The 26826-nt window shown below is 40.4% G+C and overlaps 1 protein-coding gene and 4 long non-coding RNA genes across 7 annotated transcripts in view, besides 5 other annotated features; 1 reads left to right on the forward strand and 4 right to left on the reverse strand.

Moving 5' to 3' along the window:
• LOC124900751 (uncharacterized) lies at window positions 1–3441 on the reverse strand. Its single transcript, XR_007058221.1, has 2 exons — window positions 2829–3441; window positions 1–1759 (listed from the first exon to the last, which is right to left on the reverse strand). It is a non-coding gene; the product is annotated as an uncharacterized LOC124900751 (long non-coding RNA).
• CYP2U1-AS1 (CYP2U1 and SGMS2 antisense RNA 1) overlaps window positions 1–3975 on the reverse strand; it is a 68641-nt gene extending 64666 nt beyond the window's left edge. The window contains exon 1 of the long non-coding RNA NR_125929.1: window positions 3827–3975. This is a non-coding gene — a long non-coding RNA (CYP2U1 and SGMS2 antisense RNA 1). The remainder of the gene's footprint in view (window positions 1–3826) is intronic.
• The window catches only part of LOC107986298 (uncharacterized), a 75213-nt gene that overhangs the window by 24434 nt on the left and 23953 nt on the right, over window positions 1–26826 (reverse strand). The gene's annotated exons all lie outside the window — the stretch shown is intronic.
• Window positions 2775–3282: an enhancer, noted in NCBI's record as "H3K4me1 hESC enhancer chr4:108852075-108852582 (GRCh37/hg19 assembly coordinates)". NCBI's record gives its function as "activates a minimal SCP1, AML or CMV promoter by ChIP-STARR-seq in naive and primed H9 embryonic stem cells {active_cell/tissue: H9 hESC(naive and primed)}" and the evidence as "EXISTENCE:reporter gene assay evidence [ECO:0000049][PMID:30033119]".
• Window positions 2775–3732: a biological region, named in NCBI's record as "H3K4me1 hESC enhancer GRCh37_chr4:108852075-108852582".
• Window positions 3143–3732: a silencer, noted in NCBI's record as "silent region_15613". NCBI's record gives its function as "represses an Ori minimal core promoter by ATAC-STARR-seq in GM12878 lymphoblastoid cells {active_cell/tissue: GM12878}" and the evidence as "EXISTENCE:reporter gene assay evidence [ECO:0000049][PMID:35858748]".
• Window positions 3405–25317, forward strand: CYP2U1 (cytochrome P450 family 2 subfamily U member 1). 3 transcript variants are annotated; one of them, XM_005262717.2, is made up of 5 exons: window positions 3405–4043; window positions 16826–17461; window positions 19232–19393; window positions 21206–21373; window positions 22101–25317. In XM_005262717.2, exons 1-5 carry the CDS (start codon window positions 3500–3502, stop codon window positions 22277–22279), a joined length of 1689 nt encoding a protein of 562 aa, XP_005262774.1. In that variant the 5' UTR covers window positions 3405–3499; the 3' UTR covers window positions 22280–25317. The 3 variants fall into 3 exon arrangements, with proteins under 3 accessions (XP_005262774.1, NP_898898.1, XP_005262777.1); NM_183075.3 differs by having other exon boundaries at window positions 3405–3989; XM_005262720.2 differs by lacking the exon at window positions 16826–17461 and having other exon boundaries at window positions 3405–3989.
• Window positions 3943–4012: an enhancer, noted in NCBI's record as "active region_21791". NCBI's record gives its function as "activates an Ori minimal core promoter by ATAC-STARR-seq in GM12878 lymphoblastoid cells {active_cell/tissue: GM12878}" and the evidence as "EXISTENCE:reporter gene assay evidence [ECO:0000049][PMID:35858748]".
• Window positions 4073–4142: an enhancer, noted in NCBI's record as "active region_21792". NCBI's record gives its function as "activates an Ori minimal core promoter by ATAC-STARR-seq in GM12878 lymphoblastoid cells {active_cell/tissue: GM12878}" and the evidence as "EXISTENCE:reporter gene assay evidence [ECO:0000049][PMID:35858748]".
• On the reverse strand, window positions 7875–9381 carry LOC107986299 (uncharacterized). The gene is made up of 3 exons (XR_001741785.3): window positions 9203–9381; window positions 8343–8429; window positions 7875–8036 (listed from the first exon to the last, which is right to left on the reverse strand). It is a non-coding gene; the product is annotated as an uncharacterized LOC107986299 (long non-coding RNA).

The following is a 26826-nucleotide window of genomic DNA, read 5'->3' on the forward strand; positions in this document are numbered from 1 at the left end:
TAATACTGAAGATAGGCACGTTTATTTATTCATTATACAAGACATAAAGGCTAAATATAGGAAACAATATCCTGGCAAGTCTCACATTCTAATATTGGAAAAAGCTGGTAAATCTGCAAGGTGTGAATAAGAGGCAGCAATAGTGACAACCTATTAAGTTTAAACTATTATCAAGAACCCAGTGATAACTATTATAATTACAGCTTTTATGTATTGAGTACTAGTTGCTAGACATTGTGCTATTATTTAATTATTATTATTTAATTATTTTATTTAATCCCTATGCTTGGTATAGGTATATTTATCATCCCAATTTCAGTTCAGGAACATGGAGGCTCAGAGAGTACATAAACACATATATAGAAGACACTCAACGGAATATATATGAAGCAAATCATAAGAACTTAAAGGGAACAAAGGTGTTAATTTTTAAATGGCCAGTGGAGTTGTGCAACTAAATAGTGCTAATAACATTTCTACTTTCTCTTTTCATTAGCATTTTGCAAACCCTTCTTAAGCCATGCACTCTCTCTGTTCATGCTCATTGATTCTGGATGGGTGTCGTGTGTGGTGGCATTTACCTCCCAGAGAATTACAAACCAACTGAACAATTGTAGTTTTACAAATAGAGTAATTTAATACCACTCTTTATAACAAAATAAGTACTCAGCTATTTTGGATATACTGTGACCAACAATTCCGGCCAAAATCCATGTCGAACAAGGATATAGGTAGGAAAGTGGGTGGTTTAAAATTATCTTTAGGGTCTCAATAAAAATGATTTTTTCCCATAATCCTCTATCTTTCTTACCACTTCTGCCCACCCAAAAGATCTCTTAGTATTCTCTTCCTTTACTGCTTCTGCTATTATTTTTTTACCTATATAAAATAAGAGAGATGAAGCAGAAAGTATTCCTTTATGTGGCAAAATCGCCCTGAATGTAATTTGGGGAAATTCATCCTTAAGGAGCACTGAATGAGCTGTGTGGTTTCATGTTTAAAATAGTGCATCCAGCTGGGCATGGTGGCTCTCGTCTGTAATCCCAGCACTTTGGGAGACTGAAGCAGGCAGATTACCTGAGGTCAGAAGTCCTAGACCAGCCTGGCCAACAGGGTGAAACCCTGTCTCTACTACAAATACAAAATTTGCCGGGCGTGGTGGTGCGGGCCTGTAATCCCAGCTACTGGGAGGCTGAGACAGGAGAATCGCATGAACCTGGGAGGCGGAGGTTGCAGTGAGCCGAGATCACACCACTGCATTCCAGCATGGGCGAAAGAGCGAGATTCCATCGCAAAAAATAATAATAATAAAATAAAAGTGTATCCATAATATTATGAACAATATCCCTTCCTGTATTCGTTTGCTAGGGCAGCCATAACAAAGTACTACAGACTGGATGTTTTAAACAACAGAAATTTATATTTATATCCTCACCGTTCTGGAGACTAGAAGTCAAAACTCAAGGTGTCAGCAGGGTTGATTTCTTCTGAGACCTCTCTCCTGACTTGTAGATGGCTGCCTTCTGACTGTGTCCTCACATCCTCTTTCCTCTCTGTGTCCTTATCTCCTCTTCAGACACCAGTCATATTGGTAAGAGCCCATCCACAGGACTCCATTTTAGCTTAATTACCTCTTTAAAGGCCCTTTCTCCAAATACAGTCTTATTCTGAGGCACTGGGGGTTAGGACTTCAACATATAGTGGTGAGGAGAGGCTGAATTCAGCCCAGATTTCCTATCTGCCCCGCACAGCTATTAACCTAGTGAAAATGAGAGATTTAGGAAAACACTACACGTGCAGTTACATCCTGTACAATATAAAAGGGTGGCTGTTGGAGTTGTTAAATTAGTCACAGCTTCAACTATTTTAAAATCATTTATGAATTTAAATTGCTTGTATGGGATGATGTATATAGTGGCTACTGTTTCAGAGAGCAAAGCCCTAGAATCAGATGACATCCAGAATGTCATGTTGAAGATCGTATCTGCAAACAAGTAGTTTAAATTTTTAAAAACTTCTCTTAATTCAAAAATTCAAAAAAAATGAGAAAAGTAATCTCACAAGTAGTGGTTAATTATAGAAGATGAGAGGTGTGGAGGTTTTTTTTTTTTGTTTGGGGTGCATAAGCTTAAAATAACATGAAAAGCATGTCAAAAAGAATATGAGAACAGAGTGGACTTGAAATTTAACATATCCTACTGGCATCACTTGTTTATAGAAAAATAAAATGGATCATGTATTTATTTGAGGACTCACTATGCTTTCTTTGATCACATTTTTATAGGTACAGCGTGGTGTTCAAACTTTTAATGTATGGAGAAAAATGAAACGGCTAGAAAAATGGCCCAGTACAGACAATTCTATGCTCAATCCAACTTGAACAGAAACTACAGGATTTGGCCTAAACAAGACTGAAAGGGAAGCCCTTATCAGGAAAGCCATTATCTGAGAAGATAAAATAAAGTAATACTTTGTTTTTAAAGTATTATACAATTCATATCTAATATTTCAACCTCAGCCTTTCAAGTGTTGTCTAACACCAATAATAATATTGCCACCCCTCCCTCAACCGGTTATCTTCTTTTCATATTTCTAGCTACTTAAATCCACCAAGCAAATTCTGGTTTCGCTATTTCTGGATTTAAGTACATTTTCTAATGCACCCAGGCCACACGCAGGAATGGACACAGCTTTCGCTCTCCGCATAAGTTTTCTAGCCCAGGGCAAGCTCTCAGAACGTGACTCCTCGTGCCTCGCTGCCCGCCCCTCGCTCCCCCCACTCCCGCCATCATCCCTTCCGCAGAGTTGGCTGCCAAGCCGACACCCACAGATTCTGCATTCCACGGCTTCCCAGCATCCTGCTGTCTCTGCGTGGAGGAAAGGGTGCTGCGAATCCCAGTTTAGATAAGGAACCCCGTCTTTTCACTACTACACCGAAGCATGCAGGAATAGGGCGTTGACCCCATTCTCCCAGCTCAGGGCACAGGTGCTAAGGCCGACCCATCTCACGGGCCTGTTCACCAGTTTCCCACACTCAGTACAGATCCTAACACGGTTTATGCACTTCATAACCATGCGTTTGTGTTTGTCAACTGACAAACGAGTGATAATGACAAACGAATGACACAAGGGAAACCAACAGCCAATCAGAGCGCAAGGTTGTGTTGCCAGCATCCCAGTTTCAGGGACAGTCACCGCCAAGCCCGACCCTGCAAAGGGTCGTAACCGGACTTCGGGGCAAACTTCAGGTCCCCCGCCTGCTAGCCCGCCAACCCCCTCCGCCAGGCAGCCGGCGCGCCTCCAGGTTCCGCCCAGGCGTCGCTGAGTGGCGGCGGCGGGGAGAATGCGCGCGGCGCAGCCAATCCGGGGGCGTTCCTACACCCCCTGCCCGCCCCCGACCTTCCAGAGCAGAGCAGGACACTGGCGCCGCGGGTCAGGCAGCTGCGTGCGCGTCTCCTCCAGGCAGCAAGGGGAACCCGAGGCCGCCGGCGCCCGGACCATGTCGTCTCCGGGGCCGTCGCAGCCGCCGGCCGAGGACCCGCCCTGGCCCGCGCGCCTCCTGCGTGCGCCTCTGGGGCTGCTGCGGCTGGACCCCAGCGGGGGCGCGCTGCTGCTATGCGGCCTCGTAGCGCTGCTGGGCTGGAGCTGGCTGCGGAGGCGCCGGGCGCGGGGCATCCCGCCCGGGCCCACGCCCTGGCCTCTGGTGGGCAACTTCGGTCACGTGCTGCTGCCTCCCTTCCTCCGGCGGCGGAGCTGGCTGAGCAGCAGGACCAGGGCCGCAGGGATTGATCCCTCGGTCATAGGCCCGCAGGTGCTCCTGGCTCACCTAGCCCGCGTGTACGGCAGCATCTTCAGCTTCTTTATCGGCCACTACCTGGTGGTGGTCCTCAGCGACTTCCACAGCGTGCGCGAGGCGCTGGTGCAGCAGGCCGAGGTCTTCAGCGACCGCCCGCGGGTGCCGCTCATCTCCATCGTGACCAAGGAGAAGGGTGAGCGGGAGGTCGTGGGCTGTGGGTACGCGGATGCCGCGGATGAGTCTCCAGGTGCGTGGGGGCTGCAGTTCCTGTGCCCCTTCCGGCCGCCCGCGCCCCCAGGCTGCCTCACACCTGCATCCTGAACTAACAGGTGATGGTGGTGGCGGCGCTTCTCCTTTCTGATGCCTTTAAGATCCCATCAAGTAGTGACGGACGCGTGACTTGCTCATACTCCAAGATCATAAGTAGAAAAGTCATCCGGAGATTGAGGGAGAGTAATAGGGATGGCGGAAGGACAAGGTGGCAAGCCAGGTTCCATCTTTCCAAAAGTAGCCTTCCCTTCCACCAGCTGTGACCTCGGAGAGAAACTTTGGCCCCCATGTTAGAAAGAGGGAAGGATATTCTTTTTACCTTGTGGGTTTCGAATGTAAGAATTTAAGAAGATAATTTCCAATAAGATAAAAAGTCCAGAAAACACAGAAGAAGCCTATTACCAAATCTCCGGCTTTGGTTCATAGCCTCTGATTCCTGCGTATGGGAGTCTAAATTGGACATTTTTGGGGGTTGGAAAACGTGTTATCTGCTGCAATAAAATGTCCAATCTAACCTGTCTCTACCGTCCCCCTTTGTCTTACTGGCTGGCTTAGGTCTCTGACTTCTTTTCTGAGTCACTCCTACGCATCAGTCAGGTGTTAAATGCCTTTTCCTTGGGGAAGCCTTTTCTCACAGCCTCTGCAAGTAGGGTAGCCTCCCTTGTTAGAACCAGGTCCCTTGCCCAAGCACTTTTCCTTCACTACACTTTTCAAAACTGACGCTACATAACTTTATGACCTTGGGCCTGGATGTCAGTCTTCACCACTGTTCTGACATCTAGGAGGACAGAGTCATTGCTGTCTGAAACATAGTAGGAGTTCAAGTATCTATTAAATGAATGCTATTTCCTGCCCCTATAACATGGCAAAGAAAGATCTAGGCTTTTCAGAATCTGATAAAGCCAGAGTTTTGCATCAGGATTTTAAACGGAAAAGACAAATATTGTATGATCCACTTATATGAGGTGCCTCCTAGCGTAGTGAAATTCATAGGGACAGAAAGTCTCAGTTTTGCAAGATGAAAAAAGTTCTATGGATGGATGGTAGCAATGGTTGCACAACAGTGTGACAGTACCTAATGCCATTAAGGTGTGCACTTAAAAATGGTTAAGATGGTAAATTTTATATGTATTTCACCACAATTTTTAAAAAAGAAAAGAAAAGCAGGTAGGTTTTCTCCAGGCACCCATGAGCTCAGAAGAGAATTTTAGGTAGAAGCAGTATTACGAAGGCATGTAGTGGATGAGGTGTGAACTGTGACATTTGTTTTTCAGTGGGGCATTTAAAGTATTATGATCTTTATCCCTACTCATTTAAAATCCTTAGATAATGTCTTAGTGTTCATCCATGTTGTGGCATATGTGAAAATTTTCTTTTGAAGACTAATATTCCATCATATGTACAATCATCCCTCCTTATCTGTAGGGGATTCCTTCCAGGACCTCCTGCGAATAACAAAACCCTAGGATGCTCAAGTCCCTGATATAAAATGGTGTAGTATTTGCATATAGCCTATGCATATCCTCTTGGATACTTTAAATCATCTCTAGATTATTTATAATACCTACTACAATGTAAATGCTTTGTAAATAGTTGTTATACAGTATTGTTTAAGGAATGACAAGAAAAAAAGTCTACACATTCAGTACAGATGTGTTTTTTTGATCTGCGGTTGGTGGAACCAACAGATGTGGAACCCATAAATGTGGAGGGTCGACTGTATATACCACATTTTGTTTACCCATTCATCCATTGATAGACACTTGTGCCTCCAACTTTGGGCTATTGTGAATAATGCTGCTATAAATAGAAGGGGGCAAATATCTGAGTCCCTAGGAGTTACTTGATCATGTGGTAATTCTAGGTTTAATTTTTTGAAGAACCATCATACTATTTTACAGTGAGTGCACCAGTTTACATTCCCACAGGGGTCCCAATTTCTCCACGTCCTCACCAACACTTCTTTTTTTTTTTTTTTTCACACTTGCTTTTAAGATTGGGCTTAAATGTTACCTCTTTGAGAATGTGTACCCTGAGATGCTTCCCTACCCTGCAGAAGGAGATGAACTTCTATGATACCATTGTTTCATTTTAAGACCTTCCCAGTCCCTTCTAATCAATCCATAAGTCTTACTGACTCCTACAGCAGATATGTGTGCTACATCCATCTACTTTTCTCCATCTCTACTGTCAGCATCCTCATCCAAGCTACCATCATTTATTTATTTTTCTTTTTTTTCTAAAGCTACCATCATTTCTAAGCTGATACTTTAGAAGCCTCTTAACCGACCTGCTTGCTTCCGCTCCAGATTTTCATCCACAGAGCAGCCAAAAGTATCTCTTACATAAACCATGAATCAAATCTTGTAGCTCTCTGGCTGAAACCAATTGCCTCTGCACTCCTTACTTGACCTACTATGGCCTGAAGGATCTGGCTGCTGCCTTTCTCTTTTTTAGCTCTGCCTTCACTTGTACATTTCAACCTGACCTTCCTACTCTAGACACACTAAGCTGATTTCTGCCATGCCTGGGCCTGCCTCAAGGTACGATGTTTGTCTTCTTTGGGCCTGGAATAACTTCTTACTTGACTGATTGCTTGTCATCCCTCAGGCCTCTCAGGCCAATTGTTACCTTTCAGTGCTATTTTGGTCAATGCCCAGTACCACCTCTTATTTTATCTCATTCATATTTTTCTCAGTAAACACTGGCAAGTATTTAGCCTATGACCACTCCCACCTCTCAACGGAATGTGAGTTTCTTTAGGGCAGAGATTTTGTTCTTTTGTTAACCACTGTATCCCTACTTCTTGGCACAGAATAGAGAACCAAAAGATGAATGAATTCGTGCATACAAGCATCTATTGATGTATGTATCACATTTTATTGTAATTTGTTTTGTGTGTCTGTCTCTTCCTCTGGATTTCTTAAGGTAGGAATTAGGTTTTCTTCTTTGAGATCTCAACAGTGTAGTTTCCAATTCTTAACAAAACAGTTTATCAGAGTGCTTCTTGGTGGCTACTGTTTGGTTGAGAATCTATAACAAGGTCATTTCTAAGCATTAGTTGGATGACTGCTTACTATTAAATCTCTATTTAGAAAAGGGCTGGGAGCCTGGAGGCAATTTGGTGCTTCAGTAGTATCTCAACTAAAGTATTTATTCCCCCAAGAGACAGGATTTTCTTAGGCAATGCTGCTCTGGTATGTTTTGGGTGAATGTGCTGTAAAAGAATTAATGAGAGAAATTTCAGTGGCTAGAGAAGGTGTTGACAAGATAATGCAAGGCAAGAACCATATGGCATGAAGTAAATGCTTGTGGAGTTAACATGGAATAAAGAACAGATCATCTGAATAAGAAAGTGTGGCTAGCAGAGGATTTTTTTAATAGAACTTTTTCAAGAGTGAAGAATAAAAAGGGAGGATGTGAATTTATTTCAAGATGATCATCAAAGGATGAAGGAACAGATGAGGTGTGAGTGGACTTCCCAGATCAAGAAATGGACAGCATTATCAGCCTGAAGAAAAGAGGCCACTGTGACTACAGTCAAGATGCTCAGCTCAGCAAGACTTGAGGACAGCTCAAACCATCTTTGGCTACTGTGCCCAGTAGCAAAGGAGTAAATGTGATACTGTCCAGAAACAAGATGTGTAGGCCATAAGAGAAAAGAAATTATGTTAGGAATTAGAGGCCAATAACATTATTGAATATTTATTATTTTTTGAAAGAACTTTGCTGCTGAAGTTGGTGAGAATAGCAGAGAAGGGTATGTTTCATAACGCAAAGAGAGGCTAGAAATAGTTGACTTAATACATTTGCTGAAAAGTTCCAGAATGTAGGAATTTTATTTTTTATGTTTAAATTTTTCAAAATTTCATGATTAGACAAGGTGGTCTTCTTCTTAAGCCCATAAAAACTACAGTAAACTAGATAGGCCATAAAGATGCTGTGTCCATCATTCTGATTGATTCTTTTCCTAAGCACAAAAAGAAAAGAAAATTACAAAATCAGAGCTAAGGCTACCAAAGGAGCGTTTCACTCTTAAGTGTGCTGATATGGTTTGAAGGTGTCCCCAAATGTTTATGTATTAGAAACTTAATCCCTAATGCAACAGTGTCAAGAGATGGGAACTTAAAAGATGACTAGGTCATGAGGGCTCTGCCTTCATCAATGGATTAGTGCTGTTATCACCAGAGTGGGTTAGTTATTGTGGGAGTGGGTTTCTGAGAAGAAGGATGAGTTTGGCCCCCTTTCTCTCTCTCTCTCTTTCATCCTCTCTTACCCTTCTGCCTTCCACCATGGGATGATGCAGCATGAAGGCCCTTGCCAGATGCCAGTGCTATCCTCTTGGACTTCCCAGCCTTCAGAACTGTAAGAAATAAATCTCTGTTCTTTATAAATTACCCAGCCTGTGGTATTCTGTTATAGCAACACAAAACAGGGTAAGACATGTGATCTGTTTCTTCTAAAAGGTTTGTATACATCACATTTTTATTTTAAAATATTCAAATATAAAGCTTAAAGAACAGTATAAACTTGATTATCTGCAGCTCAGATTTGCTTCAGATTTATAAATAACACATAGCTTTATTTGGTATGTTCTTCTAAAACTTGCCTATGTTGGATACTTAAAGTATCTTTCTCTAACTAGCTTTTGCTATTTAAAATAACCGTATTATGCAGTATTCCACTAAATAGAATGAATAAAATGGTATCATATTCTCTATTTCACTGTTGATAAAAATTAGGTAAATTTTGCATTTTTTTGCTCTTACAAACTATGCTACCACAAGTGCTTGTAGGACACTAGTCATGAAAGTAGAAAAAGAAACACTGATTTGACTCTTAAAACCTGATATGGCTCGGATAATATCACTGGAGACTTGGAGCAAGAGTCAAAGCAAGTTGTAAAGCCATAAAAATAGAAGGCAAAAAGAAATTTTGAAGAATTTTAGAAGTATGGGATAGATCAGTCTGATATATACCTCAAAGGGGAACAAGATGCAAAATGAAATTAGGAAATGAAGATAAACAGAAAATGAAAGTTCATCTGGGGAATTTGAAAATGAATAGGGAAACAAGTTAACTGAGTATGTAATAAAATAGGTATTTGAAATGATTTTGAAATAGTTATGCACTCACATTGAGACGGCCTGAATTCTCCCTAATAGGAACACTTCTATGATCCTATGGAAGAAAAGGGTAAATGTAATCAGTGTACAACATCCTCTGTTCAGTAGGTAAAGACTGAGATCGTATTGACATTTTCATGTATCACCTTCCAGTCTTTTTTCTACATGTACATGTATTTTTTTTTTTTTTGAGGTGGAGTCTTGCTCTGTAGCCCAGGCTGGAGTGCAGTTGCAAAATCTCAGCTCACTGCAAGCTCCGCCTCCCAGGTTCATGCCATTCTCCTGCCTCAGACTCCTGAGTAGCTGGGATTATAGGCGCCTGCACCACACCTGGCTAATTTTTTGTATTTTTATCAGAGGGGGTTTCACTGTGTTAGCCAGGATGGTCTCGATCTCCTAACCTCATGATCCGCCCACCTCAGCCTCCCAAATTGCTGGGATTACAGACGTGAGCCACCGTGCCTGGCCCATGTACATGTATTTTTAGAAATATATTTGCCTCCTTAAAATGGAATAATTTTCATAATTTTAAAAATTGCTTTTTATCACTTAAAGTATTATGAGCATATTTTCATATTATTAAATATTCTCCTGTAAAGTTCTTAGGAGCTGTATAATATCTGTTTGTGAGAATGTATCAATGTCAATTTAGTCTATACTTTATTTGGTTTGAGTTGGATTTTTATGTTTCCACTGTCTAGCACCTGTTCCTTGGACAAGAATACCTGCTTCTTCTGAGGAATTCCTTTTTTCTGACCTCAGTCCCTTTTACCCTTAACTGTGGTTGAACGGCAGATGCCATATCTTTACATAAACTCACCTTCTTGGCCACAGTGATAAGTAAGTTGAGGGACATACTGACCAAAAGTAGACTGATCAGAATTTCTAACCTTTTTGTAACTGGTTAATCTGTAGGCCAGGCACAGAACTCAACAATTCACAACTATACATCAATCCTCACATAGTTTTGGGATAAGAATAGCATGGCATAGTTAGAAACCTCAAGCCATAAAATAAATTTAAGTTATCTCAAGTTGGTATCACCGCAGGACACCTTACTGAAGCATTTGAATCCTTCCCCAGAATTTCTCAGGTTGAATCTAGAAAATAGAGGGCTTTTCCTTTTGGTGGTGAAACTGGGAAAATAGGCATCTCAGGATAGCTCATTTTTCATTGAAAAGCTGGTTTGCAGTTGGAAAGAATGAAGTCAGAGAGAGAGGAGGGAAAAATAGGTACAGGGAGGAAGAGTTCTGTGACAGTATTCCCTGAGGTGGCAATACCCTTTCCTTCCTGTTTGTTCATTCCATAGCCTAACTGGCCTGTTTGATGAACTAGCTTGAGGGTATATTTTTGTTATTCTGAAGCAAAAGAGTCCTGATTTTTGCTTCGGAGCCATTTTGCTAGACCAAATATTTCTAAAATACAAATTTGTAGTTTAAAAATGGTTAGATGATAAGATCGAGGACCTAACAAAGGAAAAATAATGTTTTTTGATAAATAGGACAAAGCAGAGATGCTATATATGATATATTAAATAAGGAGAGGGCCAGGCACGGTGGCTCATGCCTGTTAACCCAGCACTTTGGGAGGCCGAGGCAGGTGGATCACCTGAGGTCAGGAGTTCAAGACCAGCCTGGCCAACATGGTGAAGCCCCATCTCTACTAAAAATACAAAAATTAGCCGGGTGTGGTGGCATGCGCCTGTAGTCCCAGCTACTCGAGGCTGAGGCAGGACAATCGCTTGAACCCAGGAGGCGGAGGTTGCAGTGAGCCGAGATCGCGCCACTGCACTCCAGCCTGGGTGACAGAGTGTGGCTCCGTCTCAAAAAAATAAATAAAAATAGGGAGAGAGGGTAGGTGGGATTGGTATCAAATCCTGAAGCTGGTGTGGAAGACCATATCTATCCAAGAGAAGAGGAGGCCCACCAACACTTGGCCTCTGAATACTCTGCAGCAGAAGACTTGGTCATGGTTAAAGACAGGAGGAATGATTAAACTTTTGTAGCCTAGGAAATAGTTTATGGGCCTTTATTACACAAAAGGAGAGTTCTGGTTTCAGGAGTGGTTAAGACATTTCCATTCCTTCTTTGTCTCAACAATCACATACCATACCAGAGGAATGTTGAACAGAAGAACACACTCTATCCACATTGAAATGAAATGACACATCTACATTTCTGCACCACAACATCTGAAGACAAAGTGGCTATATGATTGGCAAATGACTTAATAGAGTGGAGGATGACTACACTTAAGCATCTACAGAGGGGAATGCCAGTGGAGTATGAGAGGACAGAATGAGAACTACTCCCCTAGTTTACCATGCAGAATCTCAAAACGGGTTAGAAATTGGAGGTACCAGTGATCATAGGAGACAGAAATGAGCCAGTAGACTGAGAACAAGGATAGTTTGGAATGCACATAAAATAAGATCAGGTCCTTATCACTGCCCCCACCCCTGCAGAAAATAGTAGGTAGATGATCTAGAGAGCCTTGGCTGGGGGATGGGGGGTGGGGAAGAGATATGGCCTGGCAAAATGAAAAGTTGCTTCTAGACAAAGACAGAACTCTTGAAGTGCTTCAACTGGGTGAAAGTTTGACAGAGAACACTCAACAACCCTGGCCACCGACAAAAGAAAACAAGGACATTTGTCTATCTTGGCCTGGACCTTAGCATAGAAAATGTTTTCCTACCCCTACTCTAAGTGGCAACTATATACTTGACGCTGCCATTTCTTCTTTTTTTTCCTTTTTTTTTTTTTAGACAGAGTCTCACTGTGTCACCCAGGCTGGAGTCCATTGGCGTGATATCAGCTTACTGCAGCCTTGACCTCCCAGGCTCAAGTGATCCTTTCACCTCAGCCTCCCGAGTAGCTGGAACTACAGGCTTGAGCCACCACACCCAGCTAATTAAAATTTTTTTTTTATTTTTTAAAGACAGGGTCTCACTGTGTTGCCAAGGTGGTCTGAAACTCCTGGGTTCAAGCAATCCTCCCACCTTGGCCTCCCAACCTGCTAGGATTACAGGCATGAGCCACCATGCCCGGCAGATTTTGCTATTTTAATGCAAAAACAGCCATAGAACGTATGTAAACAAATTAGTTTTTTTACATCATGAACCGCTGTGTTCCAGTTAAACTTTATTTATAGATCATGAAATTCGAATTTCATGATCTGTAAATAGATCTATAAATAGATCTTTTTGCCCCTTGATTTTACACTAAAGGAAAGATTTAAATTTCATATGCTTTTCACGTATCAAAATAACATTTTGGTTTTTTTTTCAACCATTTATAAATGTAAAAGCTAGTCTTGGCTCTCTGGCTGTACAAAGGCGGCAGGATGGATTTGGCCTTTGGGCTGTAGTTTGCCAACCACTCAACTAGACTTTAAGTAAGCGTGTTAAAAATGTAAGAGTGAACATTCACCCTGTTTGTCTCAACCTAAAGGAAGATGAGAAGGAAGGGGGAAAAGAATGAATAAAGCAGATAAACAAATCTCAGAATAGTATGTTAGATATTAGTAATTAGAGTAAATGTAAGAGGACTAAACTTACTGGCTAAAGGACAGCTTGCCAGAATGGATTTTTTTAATATCCAATTATATGTTGTTTTAAGAGACATAATCTATCTTCCCCAAAAAAGAGACATTCCCCCAACATAAGGGTACAGAAAAGTTCAAAATGAAAAGGTTTTACAATACTAAGAAAATACTTTAAAAAGAAAAGTGGTTCTTTTTTGACAAAAGGTACTCTAAGTGATACTTTATTGTTAAGAAAAAGGAGGGCATTCATGATAAATGGATCCACTTTTAAAAAATTTAAAAAACAGGAAGATAGAATTCTAAGCTTGAATGTACCTAACAATGTCATCTAATATATATCTGTATTTAACAGCATATATATATATAAATATAAATCTGTATAGCTACATTGATATTTATCTACCTTTAGCAAAAACTTACAGAACTGTAAAGAGAAACTGATAAATCCACCATTATAGCAAAATAGCTTAATATAAGTATCTGGTTGAGAGATCAAGCAGTTAAAAATTTGTTAAGGGTACAGAAAATTTGGCTTTGACCGTTATCAAGCTTTCTCTATTGGACATATAGAGAGGACATATTCCTCAAAATTACTTGGACAAACATTCTTCTCAACTTTATTTAGAAATTTCATTGGCCACATACTAGGGTAAAAAAGCAAGCAAATGTCAAATGTCAAATATCAGCATAAGATAAACCAGGTAAGGTAGCAAAGAAGACTCAAAATAGAAACTTTTTTTTTTTTTTACTTAAAACCAAATAATGAAAATACATGGAAACAAGACTTGTGAACTGCAGCTAGAGTAGTACCCAGACAGAGGCAAATGTAGAGCTTTAAATTATTTATTAAGATAGAGGTCTGAAAATTAATGAGTCAGATGGCAAACATTATGTATTATAATAAAAAGAGAACCTAAAGGAAAAGAGGAACATGTTCCAATTTTAGACAAATTCTTTCAGAGACAAAGACTACACCCTGGCTTGTTTTAGGAGGCCAGTATATTCAAGACAAATACAGCATGAGAAAGGAAACTTATAAGCCATTGTCATTCGTGAATATACTATTTTTAAAAAGCTTACATTACGAAACAAAATCCAGCAATTTTTTAAAGAAATTTAAAAACAAGCAAGTTTAGATTCATTCTTAGATTACAAGTTCAATAATCATAAAGAAGGCAGTTTTCAAATTAACCTAGAAATGAAGTGTATCTGCGTGACAATGGAGACATAGACGCTACAAAGTGAGCGTCCAAGCCAAGTTCTGCCAGCAGAAATTCTGCCTCTCCTGGGGTCTTGGTGGCCACATCCAGAGACAAACAGTCTCAGACTGGGGATGGGGCCTGGGGGTGAACCCAAGCCCTCCCAGGAGACAACTTAGCTGCCAGTCACCACCTATTAGGCTCCTCCACCCACTGTCTGCACCTCAGCAAATGCCTCCTATGCTCTGTGGATCCCCCAGACCTCTGTGTTTAAAAAAAATAAAATAAAGGAAAAAGAAATTAAATGCAGTTCCAACCAAAATCCTAAATAAGTTTGAGAAACTGATTTTGAAGTTTTTGAAACAGTTTTTAAAAAGAACGAGGTTTTGTAGGGAAAAGGGGACTTCCCTATTAGATATAAAAATTACTATAAAGACTATTTATATCTTATTATAAAGTAACAGTAATTAAGACAATGTGCTTTGAGCACAGTGATAAACGCATAGACCAATATAACCAACTAGAAAGCCTGTAAACTGGCCCACCCCTATATAGGAAATGTGTATCAGAGACAGCATTACAGATTGGTGGTGAAGGGTGAGGTAGAGTGGGGACCCTTTGACAAATCATGCTTGAACAATAGGTTGTCTACATAGGGAAAAAATGTTTGGATTCCTACCTCACAATAGGTAGCAATACCTAACACAAATATAAATTCCAGGTAGATTATAGAAACTTAAATGTGAAAACAAAATTTAAAATTTTTACAAGAAAATAGAGAATGTGTTTATGAACCCATGGTAGGAGGAGATTTCTAAAATATGCAGCACAAATCAAAGGATTGATAAATCCAACTATATTTAAAACTTCTGCTTATCAAATAATACCATTTAGAAACTTAAAAAATCAGATGATAAAAGATCTGCTATGCATTTCAAATATATAAGAAAAAGAAAATTGCACAGTAGATAAATGCAAATTACAGAATAGGAAATCTGGCCAATAACCGTATAAAAAGCTGCTCTGACCCACTGGTAACAATCAGAGAAATGCAAATAAAAATCGATGAGATACGTTTCAGCCTTCTGATTGACAAAACTAAAACATTGACAAGTATCAAGTGATGGCAACTATTCTGAACAAATGAGAACATTTAAACACTTCTGTGAACACGCTTTCAGAGTACTCTCCAATTCAGAGAGTAAACTGCAATGTCTAGTCATACTGAATATGTACATATCTTATGACTTATCAGTCAGTCCAGTCTTAGCAATGTCTTTAAAATTCTGAGGAAGTCCAATGGTAAAATAAATATCACACATAATCTTTAGAAATTCGCCTCCCATGCGTCCTTTCTCAGAAGCTACTAGAGGATGTGCTTCAGCAAAATGGGGGAGTAAAACAAAGAGGAAGAAATATAATTCAGGAAATGGGTTCTGACACAGAAGAAAATTCCCAAATGATAACTAATAGAAGTCATAGCACCTGAACCAAAGGCCTGCAGAGCAACCACTGCAGATTTGAGCAGACATTTGGAAGATTCCAATGAGGAAAGTGGAACTGATAAATTGTCTGGTATGTTTGACTGCATGGATGTTTACATTGAAAGACATTTTCAAGGGACATTAAAGAATATGAGAAAATTTAACCATGGAGCAGGGTCTTTATTTCATTTGCAGCTGTATCTACTGCACCCCATGCCTGGCAAATAGTAAGAATTCAGAAGTAATGTGGGAAGGAAGGAAGCTAGCCAAAATGATAGAGTACACCATGGAAAATAGGATGAAATAGGTGACAGTAAACAAGGAATATTTGAGAACAATTTGATACAACATCTGGGAGCAATTTTGTGGGGTTTGATGGTGGGATGTATAAGTGAAAATCAAATAGGATGTAGTTGTGGATGACCTTAACAAGTTCATATGTTTTAAAATCAGGGCTGCTGCCGACAACAGACATTTTAGATTACCTGCCAGTTATCAGATTCCAAATTTTGATGTCCAGTAGTTCTAATCTAGTTGGGCTATTCATTTAGTCAGCTAATATTTAACAACCTCTCCTATGTACCAAGCACTATGCCAGAAGCTGGATTTTAATGGTGAGCACAATGAGATATGGTCTGTGCCCTCATGTCAATCTGTTGCTATAATTATCCTTCAGTTCAGAATGTTTAGAATATAGGTGTTTAGAACATGGGGATATATAGCCTGAATTATTTTTCTGTCTTTTTCTTCTTTTTTTAGAGGCAGGGTCTTGCTCTGTCACCCAGGCTGGAGTGCAGTGGCATGATCATAGTGGACTGCAGCATCCAACTCCTGGGCTCAAGTGATTCTCCGACCTTAGCCTCTTGAGTACCTGGGGCTTACAGATGCATGCCACCACACCCGGCTAATTTTTTTTTTTTTTAAATAGAGATGGGGTCTTGTTCTGTTGCCCAAGCTGGTCTGGAACTCCTGGCTTCAATCAGTCCTCCCACCTCAGCTTCCCAAAGCTCTGGGATTATAGGCATGAGCCACTGTACCTGTCCACCTGAGAAATTTTCTAAGCCTGGATTCACTCTTATGAAATATAATACTTTGAAATGCACAATAACTTTGAAAATGAAACTCATTGCTTTTCATTTCACCAGGAGTTACTAACTATAATAAGCTTTAGAGCAAATTCTCCTTAGATATGATTTTTGTTATTATTAGAAACACATACTATCTTGATAACTAAATTTTGCCAATCATTCTTCTTGACTAGTGGTCTTTATATATACATATATATATATTTATATGAGGAATTTTCCATAAGTGACTTGAAAAATACAGAATGCACTCCGTGGTAGGTCTGTTCAGTGTTATCAGGAATACTGTTTCTCATCTTCCTTTCTTGGTGTCCCTTTGCAGGGGTTGTGTTTGCACATTATGGTCCCGTCTGGAGACAACAAAGGAAGTTCTCTCATTCAACTCTTCGTCATTTTGGGTTGGGAAAACTTAGCTTGGAGCCCAAGATTATTGAGGAGTTCAAATATGTGAAAGCAGAAATGCAAAAGCACGGAGAAGACCCCTTCTGCCCTTTCTCCATCATCAGCAATGCCGTCTCTAACATCATTTGCTCCTTGTGCTTTGGCCAGCGCTTTGATTACACTAATAGTGAGTTCAAGAAAATGCTTGGTTTTATGTCACGAGGCCTAGAAATCTGTCTGAACAGTCAAGTCCTCCTGGTCAACATATGCCCTTGGCTTTATTACCTTCCCTTTGGACCATTTAAGGAATTAAGACAAATTGAAAAGGATATAACCAGTTTCCTTAAAAAAATCATCAAAGACCATCAAGAGTCTCTGGATAGAGAGAACCCTCAGGACTTCATAGACATGTACCTTCTCCACATGGAAGAGGAGAGGAAAAATAATAGTAACAGCAGTTTTGATGAAGAGTACTTATTTTATATCATTGGGGATCTCTTTATTGCTGGGACTGATACCACAACTAACTCTTTGCTCTGGTGCCTGCTGTATATGTCGCTGAACCCCGATGTACAAGGTAATTAATAGGTGTTTCCTTTGTTCATGGCAAAACCAGGTAATTTAAATGAGGATTAGCAACCTCAGTGATCTGGTGGCTTCTAACACTGAGCAATGTCTTCAGGCTGGCAAACAAATACTTGCAACTCATAGGGAGTTGGTAAGATGTTAACAGTGAAACCCAAGTTTCTAGACAGTAGGACTGAGGTCATAACTTGCTTACCCCTGCTTAAATCTCTACGCGTCTGATTCTATGTGAAATCTATGATCATGAAAGACCTTTAGAGAAGAACATTCTAGAGCTGAAGGGAATCATAATGCTGATCTGAACACATCTTGTTTTTTTGAAATTGGAGAACAGAGGCTCAGAGAAGTTGTGTGACTTTCACAAGGTCACACAGCTAGTTCTACCACCTAGTCCCAATAGATACTGAAAGTCTGTGGCAGTTCAGAGTAGAAGAATACAGGGAGGATGGTGTATTATTAGTTTCTGTTGCTGTTATAACAAATTACCACAAACCGAGTGGCTTAAAACAACACAAGTTTCTTAGAGTTCTATACATTCTAAGTCTGATATATGTCTCATTGGACTGAAAATCAGGATGTTGACAGGGCTGCATTCCTTTCTGGAGGGTCTAAAGAAGAATCAATTTCCATGCTGTTTCTGGCTTCCACAGCTCATGGTTTCCTTCTTCTGTCTTTGAAGGCAGCAGTGTTGCATCTCTGTAACCATTTGTTCATAGTCACATCTTCCTCTGACTCTGAACTCAACAGGGAAAGGTTATCTGACTTAAAAACCCATGTTCTTAGATTGGGCACACCCAGGTGACCAAGGATAATCTTCCAATCTCTGTGTCCTTAAGTTAATTACATCAGTTTAGTCCCTTTTGCCATGTAAGGTATTATGTTTACAGACTCCAGGGGATTAGGGTGTGTACATCTTGTATGGGCCCGTATTCTGCCTACTATAGATGTGATTATACCTACCTGTATTAGTTAATTATTGCTGGGTAGCAAACTACCCCCAAATTTGCTAGCTTTATAAAAACTGCCACCAGGCATTATCTCCCAGTTTCTGAGGGTCAGGAATCCAGGAATGACTTCCAGTTTAGGGTTTCTCATGAAGTTAGAGTTAAGATGTTGGCTGGGGCTGCAGACTTGAATGAGACCAAAGAATCCAGGTCCAGGGTGGCTATCCATATGACTATTGGCCAAGTTCCTTACCACTGTGACCCTTCCATAAGGCCACTTCACTTGGTGGCTTCCTTCCCCAAAAGTGAGCAACCTGAGAGAGGAGAGAGTGGCAAAGATGAGGAGCCACTCTGATCTCAGAAGTGACATGCCCTCACTTCACCCTTACTCTCTTGGTCACACAGACCAACTTGGTACAGAGTAGGAGGGGACTGCACAAGGATATAAACCACAAGAATAGGGAATATTGGGGGCCACCTTAGGCTATCACATGTTGTCACAGTCTACTTAGAGAGTCAATCCCATGTTCATAATGAGAGTATGACTTAGGATGCTCCTGAATCCAGAGTGTTTTCTCTTTGGCCCCTCTATCTGTTACACTATCCCACTTCTAAGTCACAGAGTGGCACAGGCACCCTGGGGCTAGCTGTCTCTACCTGAAATGTCTGACCAATGCTTCAACTTCACTGAGGCAGAATCAGGCCTGAACTGCCAACTGACCAGTTATGCATTAGTGGTGATGGAAAGTATGCAGAGGAGGGCACGTTCGACTCTGTCCCATGCTTATCTTCTGGTTTATTTTTCCCTTTTTACATAGAAAAGGTTCATGAAGAAATTGAAAGAGTCATTGGCGCCAACCGAGCTCCTTCCCTCACAGACAAGGCCCAGATGCCCTACACAGAAGCCACCATCATGGAAGTGCAGAGGCTAACTGTGGTGGTGCCGCTTGCCATTCCTCATATGACCTCAGAGAACACAGGCAAGTCCAGGGTCTTCCTCTTTGAATGCCCTTGACGGAAGCAGGGCCCTCTAATCCAGGGTAGTTGAGGTGAGGGGTGTGGTGACTGTTGTCTAGCTTGATCCTTCTGAAGATTTAGCATTGTGTCATATGTAATAAAATGTCTAGGGAATGTTCAGCCCTCCGCTGTGCATCACTGGTTGTACTAGAATTCTACTACTGCTTAGTTTTACTAGTAGTTCTGTAGCCTTCAGAGCATACACAATTATACTGGCAAAACAAATAATGTCAAAATTTAAATTGGCTATGTTGGCAGAAAAAGCTCCAGAATTGACAAAGGCACCTCTCCCTCCTTTTCATGGAGGTCAGAAGAGCTCATCTAAATGTGGATTAAGGATTTTGCCTGAAAATTATCTTACTTCAACTTTTAAAATTCTGCAGCTGAAGCATAAATATGAAATAATTAGAAGGCCGGGTGTGGTGGCCTACACCTGTAATCCCAGAATTTTGGGAGGACGAGGCAGGTGGATCACTTGAGGTCATGAGTTCGAGACCAGCCTGGACAAGATGGTGAAACCCCATCCCTACTAAAAATACAGAAATTAGCCAGGCATGGTGGTGCACAACTGTAGTCCCAGCTACTCAGGAGGCTGAGGCAGGAGAATCGCTTGGACCTGGGAGGTTGCAGTGAGCTGAGATTGCACCACTGCACTCTAGCCTGGGTGATGGAGCAAGCCTCTGTCTCAAAAAAAAAAAAAAAAAAAGGGCTGGGTGCGGTGGCTCACACCTGTAATCCCAGCACTTTGGGAGGCCCAGGAGGATGGATCACTTGAGGCCAGGAGTTCGAGACCAGCCTAGCCAACATGGCGAAAACCCATCTCTACTAAAAATACAAAAATTAGCCAGGCATGGTGGCACACTTCTGTAGTCCCAGCTACTCAGGAGGCTGAGGCAGGAGAAGAATCACTTGAACCCGGGAGGCAGAGGTTGCGGTGAGCCAAGATTGCACCACTGCACTTCTGCACTTCAGCCTGGGTGACAGAGTGAGACAGCCTGTCTCAATAATAATAATAATAATCATCATCATCATCATCATAGTTAGAAGAGCCCATCTTTTTCTAAAGTCACCTGTTTCAGCCTCTCATCTACAGTGAACTCTGTCTATTTGGTCATGTCCAGACTCTCTTTAAACATCCCTATTAACAAAGAATTTACCTCTGGAGTCAGCCCATAGTATAATGGGCTTGATCTAGTTTTAAGACAGTTATAGCATGCCGTTGCTTATACATGACATTGGATCACTTAACGGGTTTTTTTTGGTACAAGTTAGATAGACTGTTTATAGTATCTTTTGGGCATTGTTTAAAGCGCATATTGACTTGTCAGCTGGTAAGAGCCAGGGTTGGCTACCCTGTATATTTCTTTATCTTAGTTTACCTCCTCATTACATTGTTATATGGACATAAATGACCCTGTAAACTAAGTTTTATACATATTGGGAATTTTAATTTTTAGGGAACGTTTACTTGAAATCCCCTATTGTTTCTGTTTTAGTGTTTTCTCTTCATTGTAATGTTTTTATGGTTTTATTTATTAATTCAGCATTCATTGGAGCACTGCCTGCTCCCTGTCTCAGGTGGGTCCTGGAATGGTGCGGGGAGAGGGATGCCAGTTGGTAAGATCTTATCCCTGCCCTCAAGTACCTCACAGTTTGGTCTCAGCCAATTAAAGTGATAGGTATATAACTACATTTTTTTTTCAGATAATGATGTTCAGGGAGAACTACTAGTAAAAGCATACTGAATAACACCCATATGTTTCCTTTTGTTTTAGTGCTCCAAGGGTATACCATTCCTAAAGGCACATTGATCTTACCCAACCTGTGGTCAGTACATAGAGACCCAGCCATTTGGGAGAAACCGGAGGATTTCTACCCTAATCGATTTCTGGATGACCAAGGACAACTAATTAAAAAAGAAACCTTTATTCCTTTTGGGATAGGTCAGTTACACTTTTTTAAACTGCATAATTTTTAAAAGAAGTAGAACTAAAATAATATTTTATTATTTCATGTTGTTTTAAAAATGTTTCTTTCTTGGCAAGCTAATATAAGAGAAGGGATCAATAATTTAGACAAGGCATCTCCCCTATGTTCATTTCAGATTTTAATAAAGCAGTTGGTTTTAAATCTCTAAATGTGACTAGAAATTTTACTTTCAGAGCTGATCAGGTAATTTTGGGGGGTCCCAGGGAGCTACTTAAGAGCAATTTCTGATCTGGTCTGGTGGGTGAGAGGATGGGTTCTCTAATCTCAACAGTTCCTCTTTTAGGTTCCTAGATTAGGAACATAGAATTCTTTCTGTGGAAAAAGGGAGGCTCTAGGGATTCTTATCTGAATTTTTTTGCCTTAATCTTCCAGGCAAAAGTGGAGGAAAGAGGTAAGTAGGCACAGAAGAGACAGGATAGCTGCCACACTGGATCTGTCTCTAGTTCCTGTCTAGAATGGGGATAGGTTTTTATGAGTAAGAGTTAAAATGTGGATTTGATATGTAAAAATTCTGATCAGCATATGCTGTGGGAGGCTATGTGGTATATATGGCAATTTGACTTAAAAACTCCATCTGCATTTAGAATACTCAATTTAGATATTTCATATAAATTTGTACTTTTTGAAATAGGAGAAGGGATGGTATTATAATCCTTCATTTTTTTCTGATCTCATTTTTAGGGAAGCGGGTGTGTATGGGAGAACAACTGGCAAAGATGGAATTATTCCTAATGTTTGTGAGCCTAATGCAGAGTTTCGCATTTGCTTTACCTGAGGATTCTAAGAAGCCCCTCCTGACTGGAAGATTTGGTCTAACTTTAGCCCCACATCCATTTAATATAACTATTTCAAGGAGATGAAGAGCATCTCCAAGAAGAGATGGTAAAAAGATATATAAATACATATCCTTCTAAGCAGATTCTTCCTACTGCAAAGGACAGTGAATCCAGCAACTCAGTGGATCCAAGCTGGGCTCAGAGGTCGGAAGGAGGGTAGAGCACACTGGGAGGTTTCATCTTGGAGGATTCCTCAGCAGGATACTTCAGCCATTTTAGTAATGCAGGTCTGTGATTTGGGGGATAGAAAACAAAGTACCTATGAAACGGGATATCTGGATTTTACTTGCAGTGGCTTCCACCGATGGGCCAATCTTCTCATTTCTTAGTGCCTCAGACATCCCATATGTAAAATGAGAGTAATAAAACTTGGCTTCTCTCTACCTCTCAGCACTAATGATGGTCAAATGCCTTACATCTTTTCTGATATCTCTAAAATGCTGTTAAGTTCTGGAGAAGAACTTCAGGAGAAGAAGATCTATCAGCTGGCTTTTAAAGACCTATGACAACATGAAAGTGGTGTTCAGCCTGGAATGCTTTGTCAGAGATGGGTGTGGATTTAGGTTATACTGGGGGAGAACTTTTCTCAGCACAGATTCTATGCCAGCTTCTTTGGGCTTGTTCTGTCACTATCTTTTTGTTTATGATTTTAGTTTTTACTTTTTGTAGATGTGGGATGAAGTGGACTCTGTCGTGTATATTGAGGAAAAAAGAAATTATAATTTTAAAAAATCCCTTGTAGGATTATTATCTAAATTTATATGTCTAACTTCTACTACAACTACAGGAACAGTGAGCCTTGCTACTTCTTTAGTAGCTTCTTGGCAGAATTCCTTTCTACTGAGTTATTTGCAAAGATGCAGCTCTACCTTTTTACTTAAGGCCTGAATGGTGAGCATGGGGATTTTGATACTGGGACTCATCAGGAAAGGATTCTGCTTTCAAACTATACTGAACATTCCTGTCCTAGCGTCCCTGCCACCAGGCCCAATGCATCTGATCCTTGAATATACTCTCAAAGAATTCACTCTCTTTTTATTAAGAGAACTAAATTGTTTCTAAATGTAGATGGTCCCTCTGGAAAAGCAGTTTTCAGCAGGGGTGGTAACCCCTTCAGAGGGAGTTTGGAAATGTGTGGGTATGATTCTTGGTTATCATAATGATGGGGGTGCTACTGGCCTTCTGCTGCCATGGGACCAGGATGCTAAATGTCAAGGTAGTCCTATACAGTGAAGAATTGTCCTGCTCAAGATGCCAGGATTTCCCCCAGTGAGAACATGCTCTAAGGAATGACCACCCCTTTCTTTTATTCTCCCACAGTGCTCCATGTACAGAAGTAAGCATAGCAGTCATATGAGCAACCACATTCCTGAACCTTTCCTCATGCTGGCTCTACACTTAATCCTTTACTTGTATGTTTCTGTAATTCTTACATAAATTCTATTAAGAGGGTGGCATACTGTAGTGGATGAAGCTGAGGCTTATAGTAGGTAAGGCACAAAGTTAAAAAGTAACATCACTGGGTTTCAAACCTACTGGTCTCTGTGACTAAAGAACACTTTCAGAACCACTTCTTGATTCTGCCACCACTTGATCCCATAACAGGCTACCCCTTGGCCTCATGCTGGAGTTGTGTGTGTCTGTCTTCATCCCAGGCTGAGCTCCTTGAGGTGAGGATGTTGTGCTGTTTGCCTCCCTCACAGTGCCTTGGTCTTAGTGGATGCCCAGTTGTCTTGTGAATGACTTTTAAGAAGTGTACTTAAGAGAAAAATCCTACCTTATTTGAATAATTACAAGTCATGTTTTTGTTGCTTAAAGGTGATAAATCAGTGTATATTATTTGTTAATGTCCATTAAAGCCAGTTTTTAAAAAAATCACTGGACTTTTGTGTTTACCATTTAAAACAACCATTTTAAACAAACTTAGAACGATGCCTTAGCTGTTTATAGGTAACAGAATGTAAACTCCCACCACCTGGAGACTAGGCCATATCCAGGGACCTCACACTGACTTTCCTAAAGGAGAGAAGCAGCTACGCTGTTCATACTGATAGAGAAGAGGGCAAGAAAAGATCCAGAGTGGCTGTTACTTTGAAAATTAAACGAAAGATGAAATTCTGAACTTAAAACACTTCTGTTTGGCCTTCTATAACTGATCACCCTTCTTTGCTCTGTTTTCCAGATAAATGGAGACACCAGATCTCCCTAACCTCTGACTTCTGCCGTTAGCCATACTCTGTGTAGTTAGATCTCAGTCTGGGAATGGCATTCCAGGGCAATTGTGAACATGAGGCTAGATTTTTCCTTTGATTTAGCACATTCCTAGGCAGACTTTTGCAAGCTCAAAAAATGAAAATAATATCTGCTTAACCAAAACATAATCATAGGAAGAAGAAAAATTTTAAAATGATTGATTTTTGACTCTACATTCTTTATCTACCATACTGCTCTTTTCCTTTTTAGAAATATTACTAAGCACTTTCCGTATAGATAAATGAAATACAGGCTAATCTTTAGGTGTCTTAGGAATTTTTGCTTTTTGAAAAAGAAAAGCTAATAGCCTAACTGCAGAGGAACTGAGTGGATGGGGTAGCTGCTGTATAGATTTTTAGATGAGATGATACAGTGTGGATTACACTGTACCTTGGGCGGGAGAGTTTGTTCTTGATATGGAATTCATATGCTTTTGAATTGCACTAATAACTCAGCATTAACAAGTATATTACTCCTTAAATTATACATGCATTTTCAATATTCCTAACCAAATAGTTTATAGCTTATTGAGAAGAAGTCTGTTCTTGGAGAGATGTTGAAATTAGATGTTTATTAAACTTTAAAATATAATGCCTTAAGCTGTGGCACTTTAAAAACATCTTTATATATAAATTGCTAAAAGGACTGTTAATGCTTTTCTCAGACACATTGGCATTTTACAATTTTGCACATGGTTTATTTGAAATCAAAAAATAACTATACTTTGTTTTATAAGTCTACCTAATATCTCATTTTTGATTCTCATCGTTAGCACAGTTTTGTTGCTTTTATTAAACTATTTTAACTGAGAAAGTGTCATGTCTGTTTTTTGTTTTGATTTAATTGCTATGCAAAATTTTGTTTTACCAGATGTCAAGTTAATGTAAAAAGAAAAGAAAATAGGCCTCCAAAGACAGATGTCCACAATAGAATGTAAGCATGGTCCTTAGAAACAAGGGTAATTCTTTAAAACTTTCCCCATGGAGTGAAGTTCCTTAGAGGACTGCATCACCACCCAGGTGTCTTATATTCCCTGTAGAAGCCCAGCATGAGTTGAGTTGAGAGGAGATGGGCCCACATGAGCCTGCTGTGGCCAAGTATTGAGTGCTGGTCTCACACTTCCCAGCTCAGGAAAAAGAGCTTTTTCATACTTGAACCATATTTTGCCTGTGGAGGGACCCCCTGCCAGCTTTTTCCACAGCCTACTCTTCTTCCTGAAGTCACAGCTCAGACAGCATCTCCTCAGAGAGGTCACCCACCATGACATCCAAAGTGGCCTTTCCTGAGAACTCCCTAATCTCATCACCCAATTTCCTCCAGAGCCCTCATCACTAACTGCAACTACCTTGTTTATTTAAACCTTCTGTTTCTATCCTCTCTCTCATCTCCACTCCATGAGGATGTCAGGGACTGACTATATCTGATAACTTACCAAGAGTGGATGCCTTATGCAGAGCAGGCATCAGTAAATATGTTGGGCAAATGAAGAATTAAGTGAGTTTGATGGAAGGTGATTATTTGACCCTTTAGGCTACAGAGGTGATGATACAGGCAAACCTGTCATTGTTTTCTGTCTGCTGCCTCAGTGACTGTGGCTTGTGCCACCAGAGTATGAGTTCTGGTGAAATAACAGTAGTGAAACAAGGGGAACACCAAATAATGTGGCACCCTCAAATCTACTTCGGTTTTGCTGCACTGTTTTTAGAAACCAAATTCATTTAAGTAGGGTATTTGTTCATTAGTAAATAATTTGGTATTATCATCATTGAAATGATATACTTTTATATTATTTTATTTATTTTTTTTGAGACAGGGTCTCACTCTGTTGCCCAGGCTAGGGTGCAGTGGCATGATCACGGCTCACTGCAGGCTGAAGTGATCCTCCCACCTCAGCCTCCTAAGTACCTAGGACTACAGGTGTGTGCCACCATGCCTGGCTAAGATATTTCATATTCTTATCAGTTCTTCCCTTTGTATGAGGGTCAAATAATCAGTTTTTGTTAAGGGAAAAGGCTAATTATCCATAAGACTCTCAGTGGATTGCTCAGCAAAATCCCTGCAGCCAAGGATAGAGTAGGATGATGTATTCAAAATTCTAAAAGAAAAAAACTGCCAAACAAGAATATTGCATTGGGCAAAAATAGCCTTTAAAAATAAAGGATAAAGTCATCCCAAGACAAATGAAACTGAGGGAATCTGTTTGTTACCACTAGACCTGTCTTATAAGAAATACTTAAGGAAATTCTTCAAATTAAAATGAAAACATGTTAAATAGCAACATGAAAACATAAATCTCACTGGTAAAAGAAAATATACAG

This window comes from Homo sapiens, chromosome 4, assembly GCF_000001405.40.
Source record: "Homo sapiens chromosome 4, GRCh38.p14 Primary Assembly".
In the NCBI taxonomy this organism is placed as follows: domain Eukaryota; kingdom Metazoa; phylum Chordata; class Mammalia; order Primates; family Hominidae; genus Homo; species Homo sapiens.